Source organism: Homo sapiens, chromosome 8, assembly GCF_000001405.40.
Source record: "Homo sapiens chromosome 8, GRCh38.p14 Primary Assembly".
In the NCBI taxonomy this organism is placed as follows: Eukaryota; Metazoa; Chordata; class Mammalia; order Primates; family Hominidae; genus Homo; species Homo sapiens.
In genome coordinates this window covers 141,597,230-141,624,677 of record NC_000008.11, presented here as the reverse complement: position 1 = coordinate 141,624,677, position 27,448 = coordinate 141,597,230, and the positions used below count along the sequence as shown (strand labels likewise).

The following is a 27,448-nucleotide window of genomic DNA, read 5'->3' as shown; positions in this document are numbered from 1 at the left end:
AGGTTCTGAGAGACTCTAATCACTTGCCCAAGATCTTAGGATAGGAACTGATGTGGCCGTATTGAGAGCCAGTGGGTCCGTCTGCCCACAGCACCCACCACTCCCATGGCCCCTCCCTCTGCTCTGGAGCACACGGGGCTCCAGTTTGAAGGCCCAAGGGGCCCTGAGATGCTGTCGATTTTTGTGTGGCCTCTGGATGGGACAGGGCCCTAAGCACGGCCATCTGCACAGTTCACCCTCACTCACTCATTCACACAGCAAGTGTCTAGTGAGCACCCACCCTGTCTGAGCATTAGGGCTGGGGGGAGAGGGCCACATGTCCACTCTCCCAGACCCTACAGGCCACAGAATGAGGGCCCCCATCCTCAGCTACGAGGAAGCCTGCCTGACTGCCTCTGACCCCACCCCAACCTGGGCCTTCCCAGCTGTGAGCCCTGTCTGGGCCCTGTCCACACCTCCAGTAGGTACCTTCAGCACCAGCTGACTGCCCGCCGCGATCCAGCCCACTCCTGTGACCAGGAGTAGGGCCAGCCTCACAGCAGGCACTTGGCCAGCACAGCTGAGTGCATGAGAGTAGGAATAAAGCATTGGGAATCTGTTCCTGTCATTTCACCAGACCAACCAAGGACGCCGCAAGCAGAGCCTGCACCCTATGCTAGGGAACAGAGACAAAGACAGCAAGGCTCTGTCCCGCAGGAGAAACGGGAGACGCCTCCTTAGAGCACGTGGAGAGGCCTTGTCCTGGGCGCTGGCGGAAGCCAGGCTGTGGCCGAGGGAACAGCAGGGGCTGGAGTGAGAAGATCTGACGGCAAGCTGGGAGGGAAGGTCAGGGCCAGGGGCCTGCAGGAGCTGTCCTCGAACAGCCTGGGGATTGGGGGATCCAATCAGCACTTTATGGGTGTTCAGACATGAGATCAGAACTCAGAATCTCACCAGGCCCCTGCGGCCCCATAGCGATGCCAAGAATGGCAGCCAGGCCTGCCTGGGCATCTCCAGGGAAGGTGCTCACTCCCCCGGGTAGTAGAAAGAGCACCCCTGCCACCAGCAGCATGGAGAAACACAGCACCTTGTCCATTCCAGGATTTGCTCTGCCTCCTGGGGACAGAGGGTCAGGCCATGACCTGGGCACCGTCACCAAGGAGCTCACGGCCACGTGGAGAGCAGGTTTCAGGGCCTGGCAGCTGTGGACATGGTGTGAGACGGTGTAGGAGTGCCAGCTGCTATGAGGCCGCGGAATCCAGGGCCTGCTCTTGGGACCCTTGAGCTCTGCAGATGCGTGCCTGTCCACCGGTCAGCAGCTGGCCCCTGCTGAGAGAACCCATCCACGACCTCCGCCAGGGAGCCAACTTGCAGCGGGCCAGTTAGGCCTGTTGGTGCTGGGTGAGCAAAGATGGAACAATGTTGGCAGAGGCCCCGTGGTGCTAGGTGAGCAAAGATGGAACAATGGGACCTTGGGGAAGGGCGGCACTGGCCCAGCTGAGGATGCCAGGCAGAGTCAGGTGAGTGGGGCAGGAGCGCCAGCTGGGAACTGGCTCTTCTCAGGCTGCAGTGATGTGCACACAGCCAGGCCCATGGCCCAGGCCCACGCACACACAGCCCCCAGGACGTGGCAGCCACAAGCTGAGAGCTTGGACCCAGTACCTGTAGAACCGGGCCACGTGTGCTCCGGGCGGGGCCTTCACAGCTGCAGCAGCCCCAGTGGCCTCAGTGCTCAGCCCTCCCATCAGCAGCCTCCCCTGGGTGGGCTCTTATTGGCCCCACCTCCTCTGGGCCTGGACTTAAGGCTCATGTGATGGGCCAGCACAATGCCCAGACCCCAAGGCACTAGGACCCAAATCCTCCCCAAAGAACCCCAGGTCAGAATGGCCACATCAGCCCTGGCACCAGGGGCCTCCAAATAGACCTTCACAGGGCCCTGCACAAGCCCCTCAGGCTGGGACCCAAGAGCAGATTGGTGTGAGCAGTGGCACCGGAGAGGTTCCGTCACCACCCGAATGACAGTCGTAAGGACAGTGAGCATCAAGACTGACCAGGTGATGGGAGTGGTGGCCACTCAGTGACGGCCGATGACAATGGAGTGGTGACAGTGATGGAGATGCAGTGATGGCGAGGGTGACGTGGTGATCTGATGACAATGGCAGTGACGATCATGGAGGCAGTGATGGGGACAGCAATGAGGACATCGATGGTGAAGACAAGAGTGACAGCGGTGATGAGGTGATAGTGACGTTGCAGTGAAGATCGGGGCCCTGCCAGAGACAGAGGGGTGGTGGCGGTGGGGACGGCGTGGGTGGTGCTCACGGTAGCGGGGCTCCCCATGGCCTGCGGAGGAGGGAGGTGCCCCTGACCCTCTGGCAGCAGCAAGGGCTGGGAGGAAGCTGGAGGAGCCCCACCCTGGACAGATGCGTCTCCTGCCGCTGCCTCCGCAGTTCCGTTCTCACCTCCCCTGCTTCCCTTAATCTATGTTATTATCTAATTCACAATATCAGTGTTTTAATACTTAAAGTGGATTTGAATTAGCATAACTGGCCCTAAGTGGAAATAAATTAATGTTAGTGCATATGAAGTTTCTCCAGACAATTAGAACTCGAACTAAATTAAATTAATGTCTCTAATCTTCCTTATTCTTACTTCAGAGCCTTAGTTTCCAGATGGTACAGGGTCTCTGGTGGAGCAGAGACCCACCTAGGCCAGGAGGAAGCTGGCCCAGCACCACCCTGCCCACAGCCTCGCAGAGACGCTGGGAGGCCAGGAGTCGGAAGGGAAACTGAGGTTCCGAGGGGCGATGCGCGGGCCACGGGCATGCGGTGGGAAGCTGCTGGGCAAGGCTGAGCATGGTGTTCGGGTGGCTTTGGGCCTCTCAAGAGAGGGGCGACCTCAGGAGCCCCAGCCTGGAGGGAGAGTGACCCCAGGGGTCGGCAGTGTGAGTCGCCGCTGTGGACACTTGAGGGCGGATTTTCAGTGCCTTGGACTGAATTTTGAGAGGGGTCTTGAGGCAGCCACTCTGCACTAGACACCGACATCCATTTCCGTTTTCTCCCCAACAACCTCAAAAGGCAAAGGCCCTAATCCCTACCCCACACCTAGAAAAACCAGGTCTGAGCCTGAGGCCACCGAGGGGTGAGGGGCTAGCAGGTACTCCAACCAAGCTGCAGCGTTCAACCCAGCTCTCCACGGGCAGCGGCTGCCCTGTCTTGGTCAGCATCCGGGTCTGTTTCAGAAACTCCACCTGGACTCGCCACTGCCCCAGCCCAGTGAGGGCTGGCAGTGGAGATTGCTGTGTCCAGAGGCTGTCCGGGAGCTCCACGCCCCTGCAGGAGCCTGGGTGGACAGTTGGGCTGCCATGTGCTTGAGTTAGCCCTTCTGCCCCTCGAGGATCGTCCAGATGAAGCTGGGAGGCAGCTTACAGCCTCACTGTCCAGCCTTGGCCAGAGGGGCTCCGGGAGGGCCAGCGTCCACCCAGCCCCTCCTCAGAGGAGCGTCAGACACCCTTCTCAGCCCCCAGGAGTCACCGTGTTTCTCCCCTTAGTCCTCATCTCCTTACGATGGCTGTGGGGTCATCTGTGGTCCCCGTGCCCCATGATCTGACCCCATGCCTCCTCTGTGATTGGCTGCCAGGGAGCTCGGTGCCAACCTGCCTGCCCCTAACAAATGTACAGGGCCTCAGGATGTCTTCCTCTGCTCAGTTCCTCCCTGGCTGGGCTGTCTCTGACCCCCACTTTGCAGCTGAGGACATTTCAGGTTCAAAGACATGAACTGACTTGCTCAAGGTCACATAGAGAGAGACAGGGTTGGGCCCAAACCAGGCTCTCCCGACCCCACCTATGCATTCTCTAGCTCACCCCTGGGAGGCAGCTCCTACAGGAGAGGCCCTGCCAAGGGTCTCCCAGGTGGGCAGCTGTCATGGTGGCATGTCTTTGCTGCGAGGACTGCGTGGGGCATCATGGTGACAGGGGACTCTTTAAGATTCCCCCTCACTTCCCAGATAGGAAAACAGTTCCTGGAGTGAGCCCCACACTGGTGTGGCAGCCAGGAACATGCAGGGCTGGTACCCGCAGGTGCCACCCCCAGCACTCCATCTTGGATGAGCAAACACTTCTGGCAACAAAGGTGAACACCCCCCACCAGCATCCCGGGGTGCGCACCACCCTCGGCACCTGAAGGCCCTCGCCTCCTTCCACAGCCCTGGAGTTGACGTCTTTGCCCAATCCCCACCAGCATCCCTGGGTGCGCACCACCCTCGGCACCTGAAGGCCCCTCGCCTCCTTCCACAGCCCTGGTGTTGACGTCTTTGCCCAATCCCCACCAGCGCTCCGGGGCGCCCACCACCCTCGGCACCTGAAGGCCCCTCGCCTCCTTCCACAGCCCTGGTGTTGACGTCTTTGCCCAATCCCCACCAGCGCTCCGGGGCGCCCACCACCCTCGGCACCTGAAGGCCCTCGCCTCCTTCCACAGCCCTGGTGTTGACGTCTTTGCCCAATCCCCACCAGCATCCCGGGGTGCGCACCACCCTCGGCACCTGAAGGCCCCTCGCCTCCTTCCACAGCCCTGGTGTTGACGTCTTTGCCCAATCCCCACCAGCGCTCCGGGGCGCCCACCACCCTCGGCACCTGAAGGCCCTCGCCTCCTTCCACAGCCTTCGTGATGACGTCTTTTCCCAGGATTGCTTTTCTCAGTGGGAGTCTAAGAGAGAAACGTCAACTGAATGACTTTTGCCAGAAAGGACATAACCCAGATGCCTCCTGGCCCCCCAGTTCCCCATGCCTCATCCACTCAAAGTCTTGGCTCGGCAACTGCCCCTCAGTGGGGACTCGCTAGGCAGTGCTCCTTCTGTGGCGCCACAGTGGCTGCTAGGTGGCTCTGGCCCTCTCTTGGGAGGGGTCCTGGAGGAGACAAGGGGACAGACATGCCCACCACAGCACCATGGTGTCCTCTCTGCAGTGTCAGCACACAACAGCAGCCTGGCACTCCCTGAACCGCACAGCGCCAGGACCCTGAGGAAGATGCCCATGTCCATTTTCCCTGCCAGCCGCTCTCCTGTGTCCTCCCCTGGGCATGTGGCTTCAAGCTGGTTTCTCCAAAGTCCTGCCTCCCTGTCCTAGTGCCCAAAAGCTGATGGTACCCACACACCCCAGTTTGTCAAACTAATAGCAAGGAGCCTCTGAGCCTGGCAGAGGGTCTGCTCCCCATCCCCTGGGAATTACTCTTTGATTAGCCAACTGATCTGATATTGACTCCTGTATGAGAAGCAGCTGGGAGGCTGGGGAGCCCCAGGTCACCACTGCAGTGTGGAGAGGCCTCCATGAGACACCCAGCCTCTCCGCTGATGGACAGCCTAGTGCATGTCATCCTCGCTTGGAGGGGCAGGGATGTCAGGTAATCAAGGGCCTGAAGAACCATCACTAGGCCCACGCCAAAGACCCAGCCATCCCGGCTCTGTCCCCTCTTGCTGATGGCCTCAGGCCAGTCACTTCCATTCCCTGCGCCTCAGGGTCCCTTGTGTCAAACAGGGTGCCAATGCGGCCTCGGGGCTCAGCTGCATGGACTTGCATCCACCTGGGTAAAGCTCCTTGAAGCCAGAAGCTCCTCAGCAAATGCCAAGCTCCCCGCTTGCAGTGAGAGAAGAGCGCACTCCGTATTTCAATATCTGCACTGAAGCAACCCAGAGGCAGGCGTTAAAGGGCACCCGCCCTGGGCCCAACTCCCAGGGAGCCCTATTTTTGTGTTCAGTCATGGAACAACTGTTGCTCAGGGCCCCATCCTGTGCTAGCTGCACCCGGGGAAAGGGAGATGGCAAGGCCTGGCGCCCGCCCTCGGTAGTTCACGGTGCAGGAGCTGGTGGGGGAAGGCCATGACCACATGAGGAGTCACGCACAGGCTTCCAGGATGAGCAGCGTGCAACACCCCACGCAGGCAACCGCAGAGGAGAGAGGGGTGAGGAATCCTGCTCGGAGCCCTGGCAGACACCCTGAGAGATGCCACATGGCTTGGATTTTGAAGTATTAGAAAAGCATGCAGCAAAGCAGTACAGGGGTGGGGGATGAAGGTGGATGGAAGGATGGCCCGGGATGGGGAGCACCTCCTTAGCACAGGTCACACAGGAGGACATGGCGAGCATGCTCCCTGCCTTATCAGAGTCCCTCATGTCCCAGACCATTGTGAGTGGTTCAGGTGTGGACATGCCACCCAGCTTGGGCCAATTAGAAAGAGCTCCCTGGCTCCCTGGTTGCAGGGTGCTCTTTGTCTCTGGAGTTGGCACTGGGAAGATGTGGGCTGAAGTGGATGGGGCTGTATTGCTGCCACGTGGAGCCTGGGAAAGAATCCAGCCAGAAGGCAAGCAGAGGTCTGGTCCTGATGGCATCATTAGACCCCTGGATCCAGCCATACCTAAATCCCACATCCACACTGGCAGCACACGGGCCCTTCATGAGTTGGGCTCCCTGTCTCTCACACCCAAATAAAGCACCGTCTGGTTGTGGGGAAAGTGGAGATGGTGTGGCTTCAAGCCTGGCTCTGCCCTGTGGCCATGACCTTTAGCAAGCCACTGACCACGCCATCTGTGCTCCGTCCTCCCCGTCTATGAAGAGAGGCTGCTGCCACTCACTTCTCTGCAGGGTTAGTGCCCGAGAGGTGGGGCTTCAATACAATGATTGCTGTGAAAGTGATTTGCTACTTTCTCAATTGTTGTTACACGTGATGCCGTACTTGACTTATTCATTTGTTCTGACCTCTGCAGCAGGGAGCCTGACCTGCCTCCATCACTCCAGGGACACATACACCTACAGCCTGGTCCGTCTTCATCACCCCAGGGACACACACACCTACAGCCTGGTCTGCCTCCATCACCCCAGGGACACACACCTGCAGCCTGGTCTGCCTCCATCACCCCAGGGACACACACACCTGCAGCCTGGTCTGCCTCTGTCACCACAGGGACACACACCTGCAGCCTGGTCCACCTCCATCACCCCAGAGACACACACATCAGCAGCCTGGTCTGCCTTCCAGAACTCAAACCCAATGGGAACCCACTCGGGCTGTGAGGCAGGCTTGGGGACATTTTGGCAGGGAATCCCATGGTTGCTGGAGCATGGTCTGGAACTGGTATGAGCTGCAGGTGTGAATGTTTCATTGCCCGACAGCCTTTTCGTGTGGTTCTCAAAGATGCAGCACCTGTCCCTACCCAAATTTAAGGCATCCCAAAGTGAGCACCCTGAAGTCTTGGAAGCCTCCCCTTGCACCATCTGGTTGTGTTTGCCATGAGCCACATGTGTTGAGCCTGCTTGGTGCCAGCTGCATGCAGGACGCAGGTACTTGGCAGACCACACAGCCTCTGGCCTCCAGAGACTTCCAGGGGGTTCCGACCACAGAGCCCTTTGGGAATCCCAGGGTGTGGAGACAAAGGCGCAGATGGAGGCAGGCACCTCTGCCCGGGGGCCTCCGCAGCGCCTGCCCTTGCCACTTCCCCGAGAGGCTTTGCTTAACACCTCTTATATGTTGGAGTCTCATGCAAGATTTTCTTCCAGAAAAAGATTTGCACTGCTCTATAAAAAGTTAGAGAAACCACGGATCTGTGTAGACACATGGGATAAAATAGATAAGGCGGATAAAATGGCTGGGACAACGCGGATGAAAGGTGCCGGCCTTGTCGCACCCGTGGGAGGACAGAGGCTGCCGTGGCGAGGGATTGGAGGGACCCCGTTGGAGTCCTCCGTCCCCATGGCTCGGCACTCGGTAGGATAGATAAGCATTTAAAGAACGACTCTAAACCCACAGAGCAGGGGGCAAGGAATTCCTTTGATGGGGAAGAGGGAGGGCAAGGAGCATAGCCGGCGGGTCCACGTGGCAGAGAGCATTTTATTCCTGAACATGGAGCACGGGACACAGGGCACAACCACCTCACAGCAGCCTGAGGTGGAACAATGAGATGTTTCCAAGCAACACAGGAAACCAAGAGCCCGGGGTTCGTGACGCCTAGGAAATGCCGAAACAGCAGGGGCCAAACACACCCCACCCCCTGCAGGTCCCTGGTTCTCAGACCTCGGGTGCCTCTTCTACAGGCTAACGGGAGGCTCTCATCTCATTCCCAGAGCACCTGAGCTGCCGCAGCCTCGCTCTCCAAGCATTTTCCTTGTGCTCCCCCAAACATGTAAGTGCACTCCCGGCCTGTGCATATGTATTTGCGTACAGGTCGTATAACGTCGTGCCAGCGTTAGCTTCTAACCAAAGGCACATGCATGCTGAGGAAAAGATCAGCTGTTACTGACAGTGCATGTAGTTCATATCTCAAATGATTTTTTAATTATTTGGAATCACTTTGCCCATTTTTTCTGGGAGCTGGTCAGTTGTGATGTTTTGGATGGCATCTGCTGGCAGAGCTCTGGTGTCGGGATTGAGAGAAGCGTCACACCACTGCTCCCGGGCTTGTGGGGCGCTTGACCCTCTTCAGCCACAGTCTCTGGAGGTGCAGTAGTCAGGCAGGCTGGTTTACATGGCAGGAACAAACAGCACCCCCAAGCCTCAGGAGTTTCAACAACAAAGCTTAGTTTCTCACGCACACTGTGTGCCCACCAAGGGCTGCAGGAGCCTAGTGCAGTCTCTCCTCCCTGTGGTCATCCAGGAACCCAGTGGAAAGAGCAGCCCCATCTCCAATGCTGCCATGGACGGGGGAGGGGAGAGGGAGCCTGGAAGCCACGTGCCTGGGAGGGGAGGCACTTAAAGTTCCTCTAAGCAGCCCTGGTGACCTCCAGGGACACATTCCAGGGCGCCTGTCCATTCTGTGAGGTTGATGTGAAATATGGCTGGAGAAGTTGGCGAATAAATCCACAGCACTGGGCACTCATAAACTGCAAAAGGCGCAGTACACTGGAAGGGAAGGAGAGAGTGGGTGCTGTCCATTCCTCCGCACTGTGGACCCCACTCAGGGGTGCCCTAGGGTCCACAGTGCACGCCCCTCCGACATCAGGCAGGAGCGAGGGCCAGGGCACTCCCTGCCTCAATGCTACCACCGCAGTTCCACAGTGCACAGAAAAACCACCCTACACAGAAGCTCTCACCCGCTCCCTGCTCTCTGATGGGCGATCCTGCACACCCCCATGACCACGCAAGCCACTTGAAGACCACTGCTCCCCAGGAGGGGGCCACACCCACTGTGGGAGCCGGGCAGTGAGTCAGGGGGACACACCTCCAACTGAAGCTGTCAGGAATCCTTCGAGCAGCCATTCCCAAGGGGCCATACCTGATGGCTCCCACCAGCCCCCTGCCCGTTGCCTGGTCAATACCTCTTCATCCAATTAAATGAGAGTCCAGAAACCAGGGACACAGTGGATGCTAAGCGATCTGGGCATCTCAGGGGATGTGCCGAGTGCCCAGCAAACAGTGTGTGACGCTTTCTGCCTGAGCGTTCACAGAGCAGGGCTGCGAGGCCAGCGGGGCAGCAGGAATAAAGCCTGTCTATAACCAGCCTTTCCTTGGGGGACAGGAGGACGGGAGACCCCGTGGGTGTTGGGGACACAGAGAGCTGGGCTCTGTTACAGCCCAGCTCTTACAAACAAACCACAGCCCTGCCCTTGGAGGAGAAGGGCATCTCCCCAAAGCACCTCTGGACCGAGCGGCACCCCCAGGCTGGACCACGCCTGATTCTGCGGGAGGTGCCCCCACCTCACCTGCCCAGGATCTCAGCTGGAGTTGGGATATCGCAGAGGCGTGCATTCCCAATGTTTGTTTCTAGCCACCTGAAGAGTTTCTTACAAGTCAGGGCATTATAACAGAAGAAATGAATTCATCAGGAACTATTTGATCCACGGCGGAACAGCAAGCATTGCAGTTTTATAGAGTCATTCATTGTTAGTATACAGGATTGACTACAAAATAATGAGGAATCTCTTTACCCCCCCTCAAGATTGTTGGAAACCATGACAACCACTTTTGAAAACCTGGAGGTCCTCTTACAATGTCCTCCCAATTCTCTGCCCTCCCTGGAGCCTGTGGAGGTCCTCAGACCCATTCCATGAGCCTCGCAGGCCTGTCCGACCCCAGGGCCTGGAAGCCAATGTGGTCAGGAGCAGGGTCTCCTCTCCAGGCACACTTGAAGCTGAGCCAAGCCTGCCCCACTTCACGGCTTCTCTCTGATGATCCCCTGCTCCTGACTCCGACACCGGCTGCTTCCCAGAAAAGGCTGGATCCCCCTCTCCTCTGTCCTTGTCCACTCTGGCTGTACCATGGTCACAGCGGAGAGGTCACAGGTCACCCTGGGCCCCGGGGAGGGGGAGGAGAGCAGCTCCCATGATGAATACAGCCCCTGGGCTGGGGGTGGAGGGGAGCAGGAGGCCTTTCCTGTCGCTCCTCCCTGGCCTCTCTGATGTTGAGTCATCTCGGCCTCTCAACCTGCTGCCACTAAAACAGCTGTTTAGTTCTTGATCAGACTTTGGGGCCCCAAACTGGTTTGATTAAAATGTAACACCTCCCTCCCCCTGCTCCAAGGAAGAAGGCCTGAGATTTCTGGCTCAACAAAGCCAACTTCAACCCGTCTCAGGTCCTGCAGCATGTGGCTGGGGACTGCTCCATCACCACGGTGCTTATAAGAGGAAGAGTTCCCATGACCTGCAGATGGAAAGGAGGCCCAGAGAGGGGCAGCCACTAGCCCATGATCACACAGCTCATGGGGGACACATCCGTCCGCTTCGACTGTGCACACCACGCCTCCACCACTGGAACCAGCAGGCGCCTTCCTTCCATCTGGAAGCAGGGAGCACTCGAGGCAACCGAGACACAGACGGGGACAGATGAGGGAGCTGAGGTCACTCAGGCCTGTGCTGTCAAGACAGCAAGGCTCTGTTCCAGACAGGAAGCAACATTTGGCTAGGTCAAGTGGCCAAAACCAGTGACCAAACACACTTAGAGCTATTCGATTCCTAGAAGAACACGGAGGAGTGACTCAGCCAAATCAAATGGAAAATGCATTCATTTGTTCAGCTGCAGAGATCTGGGGTCTTATGATGACTTTTTCTGTGGGGAATACGCATGTAGTATGGGGGCCCAGGCCCCCCAGCCCTGGCCAAGGAACTACAGATGTTGTGAAGACAACACTCGTTCAGTGTGGCCACCAAACCCCACGGGTCCCAGCTGAGCCACCAAATGGGTGGTGGTCCCAGCGTGGCCACCAAACTCCATGGGTCTCCACCTTCTCCTCCCAGCCCACTCTCCCCATGGCCTGTGGGTCAGGGGAGGGAAAGGCCCTCTTCCGAGTTTCCCCCCACAGGCAAGATCTAGGCTTGCCAGATTCATCAACTAAAATTACAGGAATTTAGATTTTTGAATTTCAGATAAACAACGAATTATTTAGTGTAAGTATGTCTCAAATACTGGATGAGATATACTTATGCTGAAAAAATATTCATTAATTATCTGAAATTCTAACGTGACCAAGCATCCCTCATTTTACCTGCCAACTCTAGAAGGCGCACTAGGGTGATTGTGGCTAATTCCAGGCCACTCCCAGGACTGCCATGCTCTCCAAAGCCCTGCCCATGGGGTGAGCTGTCCCTTCTCCCAGGGGTCCCCAGCCCCAAGGCCACAGGCATGGAGCTGCCAGTGGCCTGTTAGGAACCAGGCCACACAGCAGGCAGTGAGCAGTGGACAAGTGAGCATTACTGCCTGAGCTCCACCTCCTGTCAGGTCAGTGGCATTAGATCCTCACTGGAGCTTGAACGCTGTTGTGAACTGCGTGTGCAAGGGATCTAGGTTGCTCGCTCCTTATGAAAATCTAATGCCTGATGATCTAAGATGAAACAGTGTCATGCTGAAACCGTCCCCTACCCCGTCCGTGGAAAAATTATCTTCCATGAAACTGGTCCCTGGTGCCAAAAAGGTTGGGCCACTGTGTTCTGCTCCCTGCTGAGTAGGCTGGGCTGCCTCGTGCTTGGCTGGAGACATCTTACTCACAGCTCAGCCTCTCCTTCCGCTCCTCTTTCCAGTCCCAGCTCAGAAGACATCCCCAGGCACACAGCAGGTACTCAGTTACTACCTGTTGGGTTGAGCAGATAAAGAGTCAGACGCCAGAACCCAGCTAGCTGTGAAGCTGAGAGCTGGCCAGGAGCAGGGAGGCTGTCCTGAACCCTGGGCACAGCCCGCCCCTCAGTTCCCCAGTTAGCCCGTGGCCCCGGGTGTGGGCACCAGCGTTGCTCACCATAGTGATGCCTGACCTCTCCTTGCTGACTGTTCCCTGCCAATGTGCACCAGGAGGAGCTCAGAGGGGAGGGAGTGAGGACAGCACATCAGGGGCCAGGCTTCCGCACCCCAGGCACCAGCTCTGTCCCCTCAGCCTCTCTCCATCCTCCCTGACAAGTGCCCCAGGGCATCCAAAAGCTGCAGCCCTCCGGCTCTCTCCTGGCCCCTGCTAGGGTGATGAGTGAGGCTGGGCATCTCCAGCCCAGACAGGGCCACAGGTTGGCTACAGAGTAGAGATGCCCACGAGGGGCTGATCCGAGGCTGGGAGGGTAGCAGCGATGCCATGGCCCCAGGCAGCACTTGAAGGTGGCCAGATGCCCGTGGAGCCTGGGGCAGCACCAAGGCGGATGTGGGACCCTCAGGGTGAGCCACAGCTCTCGTAGCCAGGCCAGCGCTGAGCAAGTGCAGGCTGGAGGGCTCCAGCTGGGGACAGCAGGGATGGGGCATTGGGGATGGCACCCAGCAGTTCTCACAGGCCTCCCCAGTCTCTCCTTGCTGCCCTCCAGCAGGGTGAGCCCCCCAGATGTGGCTCACAGTGCCACTCCCTGCTCAGCCTTCCACGACACCTCCACACCAGTGGGACGCCTACCCTGTGACAGTGGAGCCCACCTCTCTTCCTGCTGGGCTGAGGGGCCACCCACCGGGAAGGCTAAAGTCCTTACCCAGAAGTACAAATCACTCAGAGCCCTGAGTTACCTTTCCACTGATGCCATTTGCTCTGTTTTTAATAAGATGTCAGGCCTCCCACTGCCAGGAGAAAATCTCATGTTCTGAGCAGCGGGGATCCGGCAGCCCTGATCTGTTTTACGGCTGAGTTGAATGCAACCTGAAAAGGAAGTAGAGACGATGGGGGCTGAGGAGTGGGCTTGGAGGTCAGGAGGCATCCCTGGAATTTAGGAAGCAGGCCAGGCACAGGCAAGACACAGCTCCTGGGCTCAAAGCAACCGATTCACAAACTTTGCTCTTGAAGTTTGTGTTAAAATGGCATCACTTGCTGGGGCCCCTGGATGAAGAGGACGGGCTCTCGGAAGGCGGCAAGCAGTCAGCATGTGACATCAGCAGTACGAGGGGCCCTAGTGTGCGCCAGCGTGATAGGGATGCAGGATGAGAGACAGGCACCACTGGGACCCCTGCATGCCCCAGAGCCAACGGCCCCTGGAGCATAAGGAGACAGGGAAGCGCCTGGCGGACGCAGCCCCAGGCCCCAGCCCGGGACCCTCTGCAGAGCTCGGCTATCCTGCCACAGGAGCTGGACTCGGAGTGAGGCCGGTGATGGCAACCACTGGTTGGTGCTCACTGCGGTGCTTTAGGCTAGGAAAAGACTGCCAATTTTCTGGTGCCACGTCCTCGTGCAGAGAGGGAGGGTGGGTGTAGACGGCAAGCGATTTTTCTGCTGTCACACGCTCGGCCTCTCTGAGACCACCCTCTGATGTGAGCCTCTTGGTCTCTTCAGGGCACCATGGATGGGCAAACAATGCCTTCTGGACTCCTCCACCTGGAAGTCCTAAAGCGTCCCAAGCTCAGCACGTCCAAACCCAAACCCAGTGTCTTCACCCATGTGGGTTTTGCCGTGGTTTTCTATTGCTGTGTAGCAGATCGCCCTATACTTAGTGTCTTAAAACAACATCCTTTTTAGCTCCGGTCTTTCTTGCCATATGAGTTCAGCTGGGCTCTGCTCAGGGTCCCATGGGCCAAAATCAAGGTGTGGTGGGGCTGGACTCCAACCTGGAGGCTCCGGGAGGAATCTTTGCCCAGGCTCACTCGGGCACTGGCAGAATCCGGGTCCTTGAGGTTACAGGCCTGACACCCCTGTTTCCTTGCTGGCGTCCACGGAGGCTGCTCTCTGCCCTAGGGCCCCCATTCCTCCTTGGGTGACCCCTCCACCTGCCAGTCAGCCACATGCACTGCATCCTCCTCCAGCTTCAGTCTCTCTTCCTCTCCTGCTCCCTGCCAGAGAGCATTCTCCAACTAGGGGATCACCAATGACATTGGGCCCCCAGGACAGTTCAGGCTCTGGTCCCTATCCCAAAGTCAGTTGTGCCCAGAGGGGCCAACAGGGCGAGGTGGGCATGTGTGCACAGGGCACCACGTGCCCCACGGAGCCAGATACAAGACTAAGCTGCGTGCCAACCATGACGTCAGCTGCGTAGGTTCAACCTGTGGAAGAAGAAACAAAAGATCAGAGTGGTGAAGGGGCTTGCCAAGGCCACATGGCCAGGAGATGGCAGGGCCAGTTTTGGAGACACTGTTTAATATATGTCTGGGGAACAGTGGCGTGACTTGGCACTGTGTTGAGGCATCAAATGAATGATATCTGGGGAGAGAAAGGCAGGCCCTAGGGACAGGTCCTGCAGGGCACCGGGGCAGTCTCACCATATCTCAACCCGGGTCCCTGTGCTCACTGGGGCCATCTCTTCTCTTCTGCAAGAGCAGAGCCTCGCCCAGGGCAGGAGCAGAGGGAGGAGGCGGGCACTGCCGGCGTTCTGGGCTGAGAGGGGTGGGGCCAGATGTCCAGGACCCGCCGGTGGGTCTGTTCACACCGTGACCTTCAGCAGCATCACAACACTCTTTCATGTTTGAAAAGTATAATTGTCACAAGCTAATCATTTGTGAGTTATTGAGTGAATTAAAGATAGATGAATCCTAGCTCTGAAGCCTGGCAAAGCTGTGCAGAGCCTGGCTGGCGTGCCGCTCAGCATCTTTGTTGCTCCTTGCAGGATGGTGTGGTTCCGGCTTAGACCCCCTCTCGGAGCCTGACGTGGCCTCCAGCCCCCTCACGCTGGACTCAGAGCCACTGGCAACCTGGAGACTCATGGCTGCCCATCGGGAGCCACCAGGGATCCCGGTCATTACAGCATGTCTTGAAACCACCTTCCCCTGGCCCTCGGCTAGAAGAAAAGGAGCTGGTAGGGGAAGGCAGGGACATTTTAAATAAAAACAAAAGAGATGACATAATTTACTACTCCGGAACAACTAACTTCTTGCTGGCATCTGCTCAGAAAATGTAGTCCCAGCTGCTGGAGCTAATTACCCTACCAGCGCAAGAGAGCTGGATAAACGGGCCTGCTGGTGGAGGCGGCAGGGCAGGGCCCCCGGCCGTCACCCACCCCAGGCATCGGATTCTGCAGGTGCCTAAGCAAAGCTGTGGTGACTAACGGGCCCCACACTGTGGCCGGTCTGTACGGCCTCCTCCGGGGCAGCCCCACCTTGGGAAGGAAGCTGGAGCCCCCAGACTCTACTAACTCCACCACCACCTCCCCCCAACCCCCCAGCACAGCCCGGCTTGCCCCCAGCCCCCACCCCCTGCCACTGATCCCTGCAGGCGGCGGTCCATGGAAGCCGCCCGGAGATGCCTGGCACTAGGTTCTCGGGCTTCAGCTCACAGTTCTGCCACTTTGGAGCTGCTGAACCTCAGAGATGCAGATCACTCTCTCTGCTTCACCTGTCTTCACCTGGACAATGGAGAAGTACCTGCCAGCAGAATTTCTAGAAGGGTCAGATGGGGAAATGCAGGAAAAATCCTAACATCCCACCTGCTCAGAGGATGTGCTCAGGAGCCCTCGGCCGTTGTTACCATCACTCCCCGACCCCCGCAGCGTGAGCCCCGGCAATGCCGGTGGATCAGAGGACACCAGCACTGGTCCCTGCTCCTCATGCAGCTCCCACAGCCTTGGCCACCTAGCTGTCCCTGCCCTGCAGTACCTGTTCCTGCAGTCACTAGACGTGGGGTGCAGCCCTGGTGTCCCCAGATGCCCAGGGACAAATTCCCCTCAGCCCCTCTAATCCAGCCAACCTGGGAGCTCATCCTCAGGCATGGCTCATGACCCTGGGGGCCAGCAGTGCCTCCAATGACTGAAAACCAGCCCTTGGGCATGTGGAAGCCACTTTGCACCAACAGGAGGCTGGGACTGAGCCCCACGGGTGTCTCTAGGGACATGGAACAGCCATGGAATAGCCAAGCAGCTGACAGCAATGAAGTGCCTCCTCTCCTACGACGCGCACCTGGGCCGCACCACCTGCAGGCTGGACCCCTTGAAGGCCTGGTGTCTGAGCCCATAGAAGCTGCCATAACAGAATGTCAAAGCCTGGTGGCCTGCCTGGCAATGGGGACAGATATGGAGCCTGGACAACAGTGGGAAGGGAAGCAAGCTTATCAACAAGAGAAATTGATTTCGCACAGTTCTGGAGCTGGAAGTCTAAGATCGAGGCACTAGCAGATTTGGCATCTGGAGAGGGCTGCCTCCTGGTCCATAGATGGCTGTCTTTTTGCTGTGGCCTCACATGGTGGATGGGGTAAGGCATCTCTCTGGACTCTCATTGTTTAAGGGCGCTGATCCATCATGAGACTCCACCCTCAGGACCTCCTTGCCTCCCGAAGGCCCCACCTGCCCATCCCATCACCCTGGGGGTTAGGATTTCCTCATGAAGACTGGAGGGACAGAAACATTCAGCCGTTAGTGCCCGGCCACTACCACAGGCCAGGGAGGAGTGCAGCTGAGGCAGGAGCTGCGGGCGAGACTCCACCAGGGCCTCTGTCTTATTCCCACCACTCCTTGCCCCTTGCAGCAGCCCATACTGCCGGCAGGACAGGGGGTGTTTGGGACTCGTGGAAAGGAAGCCCAGCCTCAGAGAGCCCAGCCACTGGCCTGTGGCCCAAGGACAGGACCTGCATTCTGTATCAGAATTGCCCTTTTCTAGGTTGTCTTTCCAAAGACTGGGGACTTCGTCAAGTTTTCCTACAGTCCCAGGGCCCTCCTGGCCTGAAGCAGGGGCTGCCCAGTGAGAAGGAGGAAGGAGGAAGAAGCCAGCACCAGATGCTGGGCCTGGATGGCCTCGGGCCCAGGACCCTGAGGCTGAGGGCGGCAGCCTAGCCCTAGGCTTACACAGGCAACTCCGTGTTTGACCTGCAGCACCGCTCTCTCCTGCCCCATCTAGCAGTGGAGAAGAGAAAATAATCCATAGCAGAATGATAAAGCAGCAATGAGCAGTCATCCCAGTGGCTTTTTTTTAGTCCAAAAGCCTGGATGGAGGAGGGGGTTGCAGAGAGGAGGGCGTAGAAGACGTCTGAGCCAGCCCAGGAAGCCAGCACCTGAGTGCTTTGTCTTAAAGTTGCATTTATGAAAAGCCATGTCCATTTTCACTTAAATCCCGAGCCTAGGATACCTTCGCCTAGGATTCTATTTTAAAATGTCAAAAGCACTATTTCAGGGCAGAAATCAATAAAATACACCCAAAAAAAACGGAAAAGGAGCCTACTGGGCAAAATATCTTCCTGCCTCTTAGCACACGCTATTTTTCGAAAACATCAATAGCTGCAGTTTTAAACTTAATTCTGGGATCTGCAGTTGGTCTGTTTAGATATTTTTATGGCGACGCGGCACCTGCTGTCTTGTCCCAGACTACACAATCAGGGTGGGCAAACCAAAGCCAGGCAGGACCTGGCAGCTGCTGCCCGAGCCCCTGCAGGAACGGGGTCTCAGCACTCAGTGCCACGGCTCACAGCTCCAGGCCCTCTGAGGTGGTTGCACAATGGTCTCCAAGTCCACCAGGAAGACATGCCCAGCTTACGGAAGTCAGCAAAATCCTCACTTACCCCTAACTGGGCAACAACTAAACCGCAGATAGAATAAACCTCACAAGGCTCCAGTGCCTCTGAAGCTGCAGTCTCAGGAGGCCAGGGCAGGTGGGAAATGGAGGGGAGAGACAGGGGGTTGGTCAGGGGGGCCCCAGGAGTGGCCCTGAGTGCCCCAACATCCCAGCTCCCCCCGTTCGTCAGGATGAATGCAGGATGAATGCCTACCCTCCTCCTTGCTCCCTCTCTTGGGCTGACAGTCCCTACACCTTATCAACCTTCTCTTTTCTCCTCTGTCTTCCCTAAAGGCCCAGGAGCTTCACAAAGGTGTCCCTGCACCTACCTGGCAATGAGGGCAGACGTGAAGCCTGGACACCCTCAGGAAAGGAAGGAACCCTGCCCTGTGGACTCCAGGGGTGACTCCAGGAAAGAGCAGAGCCCTGGAGGATGAGACCCCAGCCCATGGCCTGGCCCTGCTGCCACCTGTCTGGGGGGACTTAGGCAATTGCCTCTCCCCTCTCTGAGCTAAAGTCTCATTGGGCCAAAATGCCTCCCTAGCATAAATGGAGGTTGGGCCAAACCAGCTCATGGGACCCTCCTTTTTCTCAGATCCAGTTGTCTGCTGGGAGGCTGGAGACCAGGGTGGGCACCAGGCACACCCCAGTAGCTCTGCCAGCCTTTCTGTGCCTCAGCTCCCCACGGACCCCCATCGTCCTGCAGGGCCGGGAGGCAGAGGAACCCGGCCCCTGCCTAGAAGCCCCTAGAATCTGCAGCTCACCTGCACTTGGACATTAGGGGCCCAGGCCCACTTGACCCTCTTCAAGACAAGCATCCGCTCCCATGTGGAAGCACACACAATCCTAGGTGCCCTTCCAGAAGCTTCCGAGGCTTTTGCTGAGGTCACCACCTGCCCTGATGCCCACAGCCTCCCAGCAGGAAGTGGACAAACATTGAAATTAAGAAGCATCCAGAAAACTATCAGTTGTGCAGTTGCCTCTGCCCACTCCATCCCCAACCCTATCACCCTGCAGAGGCAGGTAGGGAAGAGGAGGGTGGGGCGGGAGGGACGGGGCAGGAGCCGGCGCTCAGCCAGGCAGGAACCCACATGAGCCTCCAGCCTCCACTGCTGCCAGGAAAGAGGGTGGAGAGGAGCCCGGATGTGGATCCTGGAAGCCCGGTGTTCAGAAGCTGCCATCTCAGACGCCTGCCCACCTTGAGGCAGTGGCGGGGGAGGTGACTGGCATTACAATGATCATAACAAGGGGACGATGAAAAGCCCTGTTTGCTGAGAGAAGCCTCACTGCTGCGATCAGCTCCAGGTAAGCCAGGCCTCCGCGGACCCACTTTACAGGGGATGACTCCATGGCTTAGGGACACGGCTGCCCACCTGCGGGGGTGAGCTAAGGGTGGAGAAGGATCTGAACATGCACAAGTCTGCCAGCCTGCTCCCCAGCCCCGAGGCGCCCCGGTCACACCCCTTCTGCTCCCCTCCAAGGCAACCCTCACCCCACCTGCTCAAAGGTCCCAAGTGAGGGAGGCCTCCCCTGCCCACCTCCTAGAAACTGCCCCAGCCTCCCTGCGCCTCCGGGCTCTGGCTTTCTCCAGGCCCTTCTGGCCCCCTGACTCGGGCTTGCTGCCCCTATTTACTTCTCTGTCTAACCCCATTAGGATATAATTCCAGAGGGCAGGGCCGGCATCGGTATCCTTCAAACCCACACTGTTCAACCGCCAGGCATCCAGGGTGCCCCAAGTGCAGGGGACAGGGCAGCCCTGGATCCAGCCTGTGGAAACTTTGGGCTCAGGACTGGCTGCCCACAGGTCCCCACTCACTCCCTCAAGCCTCAGGACACCGGCCTGGGCTCACCTGCCACCTGGCTGCCCAGAGCTCTTCACCACATCACTCAGGTGCCCCACGGAACACACAGCCAAGGGCCTGGTGCTTCTGCCCCCTCCTCACTCCAGACCCTCTGGCGGCCTTTCTGGGTAGGTGTGAGGTCCCCCTGCCCACCTGCCTGTGCACAGCACTGCCAACTCGGCCCTGCCACGAAGCCATCTGCCATAGGGGCACTGGCCATGGTCAGGCTGGGCCAGCAAGGCCCAAGCAACACCCACCCTGGCCTCTGGGCTCATTCCTGCCTCCCATGCAGATGGAGGCCACTCAGGAATTACCATGCCCTCCACAGGAAGGACAGCCGGGGCCTGCCCTAGGGCCCCACAAGATTGTCACCCAGACAGGACACCATGAGCCCTCCCCAAGCAGGGGGCACCCCCACACACCCATGCACAGGGCAGCGAGGTCGGGGTCCCTGTCTGCATGGCTCCTGAGGGCCTTGGACAGGAGAGGCCAGTGGCTCTCGGGGAAGGGGGGAACCTTCTGGAGGGCAAAGTAGAGGCCCTGGTATGAATGACAGCTGTGGTCTTTGAGCTCCGCGCATTGCCGCATGCCTTCAGCTTCTTGGGAATGAGATGGGGATCCAGCAATGTAAGAAAGGATAAAATTAAAAAGATAACACAGCATGCAGCGTGCGATCGATACCAACCCTCACTGCAGACTTACGGGAGGGGCACCCTTTTTTAACGGGGCTGCTGTGGCTTTGAGATTAAGGGTCGCACTGTGGTCACACCAGGCAGGGATATGGACACTGGGTTTTCTCTTCTCCAGCCATGTCTAACCTCGCTCATCGAGACCCAGCCCACACTCTCTCTCTCTGAGCCTCACCTGGGCTCATCCTGTCCCTCTTGGGGCCCAGCAGAGGCTGCTCCTTCCAGACCTCGACCTGTCCTGGGGTCTCTGCCCAGCTTTGAGGGAGCCAGGCCCCTTGAGCCTCTGCCCGGCTCATCCCCATGAACAGGAAAAGATGGTCTGATGCAGATCGGGCTCCCGCGGGAAGGCTGAAGCGTGGCCCTAAAAAAAGATATGGCAAAACCCTAACCCCTGGAGCCTGTGAAAAACCTTATTTTGAAAAGGGGCCTTTGAAGATGTCATTAATTTCAGGATCTTGAAATAAGGAAATCGTTGTGGATTATCCAAGTGGGCCCTAAATCCAAGGACAAGCATCCTTAACTGCAGGAGAGGCAGAGGGCGATTTGGGCCGTCTCTTCTAACCGTCCCAGCAGGCTGTGTGAGCTTCTTTCTGGGAAGAAGAAAACTGAGGCTCAGAGAGGCCAGCATACTTGCCCAAGGACACCCAGCTGTGAAGGGAGAGAACTAAGACTTGAATCCATGCCTGGGTGGCCACAGAGTCCCTCTCTTTCCCTGATACCTGCTACCTCTCCAAAAACCCAAAGCCAGATATTGATAGCAGCTGGTTCCTCCTGGCCTGAGCGGGACTTTCACAGAGACCGCCACGCCCAACTTCCCTGAAGAACGCGCCTCAGACCCGCCGAAGAGGAAAGACAGCTGTGGAGGCCCTGGATCTGGGAGGGCCGACCCAGCCCCCAGCCTGTGGGGAAGTGCATTCAGAACCCGGAGATTCTGCTCACCCCTAGCTGCCCGACGTGGGGAAACCCCCACCCTCTCCATTAGAAGAGATCGGTACCGTCTGGCCGCATCACCAGCTCACGCTGACACACGTTTATTGGGGGCCTCCTGTGTGCTGGGCTTGGTGGGGGAAACCACCCACATTCCTACAGCCTCCAGAGGAGGCCAAGGCCCCCTCCCCGTCATCTCTCACGCCTCTTCTCCTTCTCCAGGGAGCTCGTACGAGAGCCTGCAATGTGCCAGGCATTATGCCAGGGCTGGGGGCCCCTAGGGACACCGTAGCCTTGAAGGCTCGGGGTTTTATTCACTGAAAATGGTGAGGATGGGGGAACTGAAGGCACAACCGGACCAAGAGAGGGATCGATCGTTTTCCCCCGGGGGTTGGGGGGTTAGAGGGGGTGAGAAGACAGAGATAAGGTCTCCATTTCACACCCGGGAGCTGCGAGACTCTGACGGCCCAGCTGCGCCTTGTGTGAAGCGGCAGAACTTAGGTTCTCGCTCATCTCGCTGTGGGTTTGTCCCATGTTCCCTAAGGCCCCAAACCCGCCTGCTGAGGCTGAGACTTTGGGCATGAGAAGCTATGCCATGGACCGATTCTTTCAGGAGCTGACGGTCACCCTGAGGAGACAGCTGCCTTCCAGTAAGCCACCGTTCCGAATGGGGGTGTGTCCAACGTGGCCGAATCAAACCAGACTGTCTCTGAAATTCCTTCAGGCGGGCCCACGGTGGCCTCCCCACACAGCCTGTCCACCGACCAGCCCAGCAGGGCAGGAGCTCCCAAGCTGCCCTCTGGCTGCCCCACGCCCGTCACAGGACCCTCTAGGCACGGAGATCTATAAGGCAACACCAGGGCCCTGTGTTCCCAAATCGTCTCCACCATTAACACCACTGGAGTTGCCCTTCGCTCCTCCTGGGTGTTGAGGAAGCAAAATCTGATTAAACCCCAGTGTAACACACACAGGAAAGGTACTATGTTCCCCAGCACCTCCCTCAGCTCACACGCTCTCGCTCTCACTCCTGTGCTCTGTCATCCTCTTTCTCCCCTCCTCCCTCCCTCCTCCTCCTCTCCCTCCTCCCTACCTTCAGCATAAGTGCCAGCATCAGCTGGGTATCAAAATACCGCATGAAGAAGCTAAGTGTAGATATGTAGATAATATTATATAATATCTGTACACGTACATACAGTCACATACTACGTATGACATCTTAGAGACAATCGGCAAGTAATAAGTGGGCGTTTGTCTGCACAGGCTCTCTTTGTGTTGGTGGTGGAAGCAACACAAGGCAAGTTAGCCCCAAAGTGGGGCTTAGCCAGCAAGGGTTCTTGGCTTCACCCAGGAAAGAACCCAAGGGCCAGCCAGAGGTAGAAGGGAAGAGTTTTCCTGACGCAGCAGCTCAGGTCACAGCTCCGAGGTGGCTCCTGCGGAGCAGGCTCCCCGAAGGCAGGGAGCAGCAGCCCACGGCAGTTCAGCAGTCACAGTTATACCCACTTTTAACTGCATGCAGATTAAAGGACGGTTTCTGCGGAAATGTCTAGGAAAAGGGTGGGAATTTTGGGTCTTGGGTCATCGCCATGGAAAGGGGCGGTCACTCCCAGGCACTGCCATGGCAATGGTAAACTGACAGGTGCACTGGTGGGCATGTCTCAGGGAAAGCAGCTTCCACCCGCTCCCTGTTTTAGCTAGTCCTCAGTGTGGTCCTGCCTCTGGAGTTGAGTCCTGCCTCCTACCTCAGAAGGAGGGTAGGGAAAGGCAGAGAAAGACTGTGTTTGTATCCAAACAGACCCGAATAATTCAAACAGCAGTGCTTTTTTCAGAAGGACACTCAATGAGTATCTGCTCTGAAGAATTAAATTTTTCATCTTCACCACGTCATTAAGTGAAAACAAACACATTGCTTGACAAAAACAACAGCTAAACAGCTAACACATATGTGCGTGCTGGGCTCCAGGCACGTATGATACAGCCTACCAGGTCAGTGCCATCACAACCCCACATTATAGCCAAGGAAACATGCACAGAGAGACCAAGTCCCCCAGTGCAACCCACATCCAGGCCCTGGCTCCAGGCTCCAGGTTCCATCTCAGGAGGGAGGGGCAAAGGGCAAGCAACAGGGCCAAAGGTCACTGGTGTAGGTATCCTTAGGCCAGGGGTCACTGGTGCAGTTGTCCCGGGGCCAGAGGTCACTGGTGCAGGTGTCCCGGGGCCAGAGGTCACTGGTGCAGGTGTCCCGGGGCCAGAGGTCACGGGTGCAGGTGTCTCGGGGCCAGAGGTCACTGGTGCAGGTGTCTCGGGGCCAGGGGTCACTGGTGCAGGGGTCTCGGGGCCAGGGGTCACTGGTGCAGGGGTCTCGGGGCCAGGGGTCACTGGTGCAGGTGTCTCGGGGCCAGGGGCCTGAGGTCCAGGTGTGCTATCTCTGCCCTTCTGTAGCAGTGAACTTCCGGTGGCAGTGAGGGGTAGATGGTTAAGGAATAGGAGGCCCAGAGAGGGTGCGCAAGCTGTCCAGAACCACACAGCCCAGAAGAAGTAGAGCAGGCCTGCTCACACCTGCATGTGTAGAGGGTGCCTGGCTGCAGCCAGGACCAGGACCAAGTCTCCACCACCTGCAGATGCCAGGCCAGGCTGCCCTCCCTCCTCAGGCCAGCCAGCCTCACCTGCCTTTTCCCCACCTGTGCCCCAGAGCCCCCAGCACAGCCACTTCCTCCAGCTCAGCTTGAGATTTCTCATCTCGCACTTGGGCTCCACTGGCAGCCACCCTCATGGGCCCGCCCCTGTAGCCAACCCCCAGAATAATAACATAACGGCATTCCCTGCTCAGCCAGGTATGCGATCGCTGCCTTTGTTTATTTGATATTAATGTCCATCCCCTGGCAGCCAACACCTTCGTCGGGCTCTGCTGCATTCAAAGGGAATTTATGGCTGGTGGAGAACAAGATAAGATGTGTAAGGCCTGACGTGCTGTGACCTTTCTTTTTCCTCCGAAAACCACTTGCTTAAGAAAACTCTCAGCCATCGTAAATCACCATCACTCAGGAGCACGTGGGCCCACGCTGGAAGCTCAGGGGCATTTATCATGGTTTTGGGACTTTGACAGCCCGTTCACTCTCAAGTTTACAAATTGCAGCACCTTCCCCTCTGCCACCACTCCTCCTTTAACAGAGTAAAGTTCTTCAACTGGGATCCCCTTCCCCCTCCAGCCTCTAGGTGTCACCTCCTATTTCAAGGTAGCCTCAGACATCACCTCCTCTAGGAAGCCCTCCCTGACCGCCTCCCTACGACTGAGTTTGTTCATGAGAGAGAAATCGGTGCTGTTGACAAGGTCATGGCAAGACTTTCTAATGATGATGTTCATTTCTCCAGGATCTGAGCACGCACAAAGGGATTTTCTTTCCTGTTGACCAGTCAGCATCCCATAGCCTGCCGATCCCATCCAGCCCGCTGTCTGTTTTTATAAATAAAGCTTTATTGAAACAGTCATGCATACTCATTTCTGTATTGACTGTGACTGCTTTTGCACTACAATGGCAGAGTCGAGCAGCTGCAACAGAGACCATGTGAGCCATGAAGCCTGAAATATTTACTCTCTGGGCCTTTCCAGAAAAGGCTAGCCAAGCCCTACCTTTGACCTTGACTACTCCCCATGAGTGACTGCTCTCCTTGTGAGCACCTCCCGGTGAGCTGGTGCAGAAAGAAAAGGTTCAGAAATGGTCAGAGGACCTCCCAGGGCTGCACAGCAGCACATCCTGGAGGCAGAAGGCTGGAACCCAAGCTGAGCTCTCCCAGGCCAGGCCACACTCTGCTCCCCAACAGCCCTCCTGGAGGTCTGCATGTTCGACCTTGAAGGCTGAGCTCACCTGGAGAAAGAGCCAGAAATGGGACATCCAGAGGAGGGGACAGCGTGATCATTCCAGCGGACTCCCCCGAGGCTCAGCAAGCCCAGCCCCAAGCCTGCCTCTTCTCACGTCCCAGCTTCAGGAGCAGCAGCTTACAGGCCTCAGCTGTGTGACCGCGCCACTCATTTCCTGAGACCGACCCCCTCTGCCCAGGGGAAAGCTTTCTCAGCCCAGAGTTGACCATGGGGGAGCGACCCCCAACCCCTGGCAGCCAGGCCGCATCACACATCACAGAGCACCCAAGAAGGGGGACAGAGGAAGCTTCCAGAAAACCAGCTCCAGGCTGCAGGCTCAGAGAGGGAGGAAGCCCCAGGTGGCACAGCAATGCGGTGGGCACCTGGGCTGGGGTCCTGACGGGAGCGAGAGGACACAGTCACGGGTCACTGAGGAGACTCTAAGGGAGGAGTCTCACAGAGGACGGGCAGGGCTAAGGACCCCAGCAAGGGACACCGAGTCACCTAGAGAGTGGCGGTGGCAGGAGTCGGGACCCGCCTGTGGCACAGGGGCTGGGCGGGAGAGCAGGCATTGAGACTCTGCCAGAGCCAGAGGGCAGGGTCGGCAGGGTCTAGGGGTCAGGTGGAGGAAGCCACTGCCACACAACCACAGCTGGAGCTGGCATGGCCGTGGAAAGAAACCGCAGACCTCTTTCTCCTCCCACCCCCAATCTCCTGCCAGGGCCTCCCAACGCCAAACCCAACCATGACCTAAGGGCAAGGGAGCCTGGAGGGGCGCAGTTCAAGGGCATGGCTGTGGCAACGTACCTGTGCTGTGTTCTAAGACTGGCCTTTCACCCGCCTGGTGGGGCCAGTGAGAGCTCCTGCTGTAGGGATGGAAGAGACGGAGGCCAAGGGGGAGGAGGAAGGAGGCTCTGCAGTGCTCCTGCCTCAGAGGAGAGTCCTCAGGCCGTGGAAGGTGTGAGAAGTACGAGTTCTGAGTCAGGAATAGCCACTGAGTGAGTGGGAGCTGCAACCTCTGAGGCAGTGCCTGCCAGAGAGCCCCAGGCTCATGCAGCCTGCAGCTGAAGAGCTGAGGTCAATGGAACTAGCGAGCTCCAGTAGAAGCAAGCAGACCCCCAGGAAAGTGAGGGCAGGTCAGGCCTGAATTAGGAGGCGGAGATGGGTAGGGAAGAGCCTCCCAGGCTGAAGGAACAGCCTGTGTAGAGGCCCACACGGGAGACGGCGAACACAGTCAAGAAATAGGAGGTCAGGCTCAGTGGCTCACGCCTGTAATCCCAACACTTCGGGAGGCCGAGGCAGGAGGATCCCTTGAGGCCAGGAGTTTGGGACCAGCCTGGGCAACCTGGTGACACTGTCTCTATAAAATTTTTTTTTTAATTATCTGGGTTTGGTGGCTTGTGCCTATGGTCCCAGCTACTCGGGAGCCCAGGATGTCAAGGCTGCAGTGAGCTACAATTGCACCACTGCATTCCAGCCTGGGCAACAGAGCACGACCTGTCTCTAAAGAAGGAGGCAGAGAGAGTCGAGGCTGCAGGGCTGTAGGCACTGAGCACATAGGGCATCACTGGCCCAGCAAGGAGCCGTCTCTGTCCTACGGGCAGCGGGACCCAGCCCTCCGGCTGCCTGGTGGGGACTGTGTTATGGGAGTCTGGAACAGGGCTGGGAGACCACACTCACCCACTCTGCCAGGACTCAGAGGTGTGGGGTGATGGATTGCAGGAGCTAAGAAAGAAAAGGGGGAATTGATGGTGGAGACCCCCACAAGGCCTCCTCCTTCCCCCACCCCCCGCCCCAGCCACCATGCCGGGTGTTTTCGGCCCTCTTCGGAGCAGCATCTTCTGCCAGAGTTGCCGGCATCGGAACAGGACACCATACAGCCAAATACAGCCATTAGAACAAATGCCTCTGAAAGCCTGTGCCCCCATGCTGATGAAGACAGGAAGCCACTGCCATGCCCATGGTTCCTGTCGGGGTGTATGAAGAGCCCAGAGAGGCTCCCTCCGGCCCACCCTAGTATGCACTCTGCCCCGCCCGGACCAACATGGGAGGAGAGACCCAGCCCTGGTTAAGGGAGCCCACGGTCTACGTGGGCGCCTGACACAAAAGCAAGAGTGGTGCAGACAGTCACACGTGCATTCATTCAGTGAGCGCCTACTGCGCACCGGCCCTAAAGGGGAGCAGAAGGCCGGCCTGGCTCCCACCCCACGGCCACGATTGGTCCTGCAGGGGTCAGGCACAGCTGCTCACCAACCAACGTCAAACCTCTGTGGAGGGAGCAGGCCCTGGGAGCAACTCTGATGGGGCCTGACCCAGCTGGG

At 57.8% G+C, this 27,448-nt stretch overlaps 2 annotated features.

Annotated features, from left to right (window-relative positions):
• Window positions 10,700–11,249: an enhancer, noted in NCBI's record as "H3K4me1 hESC enhancer chr8:142623529-142624078 (GRCh37/hg19 assembly coordinates)". NCBI's record gives its function as "activates a minimal SCP1, AML or CMV promoter by ChIP-STARR-seq in naive H9 embryonic stem cells {active_cell/tissue: H9 hESC(naive)}" and the evidence as "EXISTENCE:reporter gene assay evidence [ECO:0000049][PMID:30033119]".
• Window positions 25,804–26,694: an enhancer, noted in NCBI's record as "H3K4me1 hESC enhancer chr8:142608084-142608974 (GRCh37/hg19 assembly coordinates)". NCBI's record gives its function as "activates a minimal SCP1, AML or CMV promoter by ChIP-STARR-seq in primed H9 embryonic stem cells {active_cell/tissue: H9 hESC(primed)}" and the evidence as "EXISTENCE:reporter gene assay evidence [ECO:0000049][PMID:30033119]".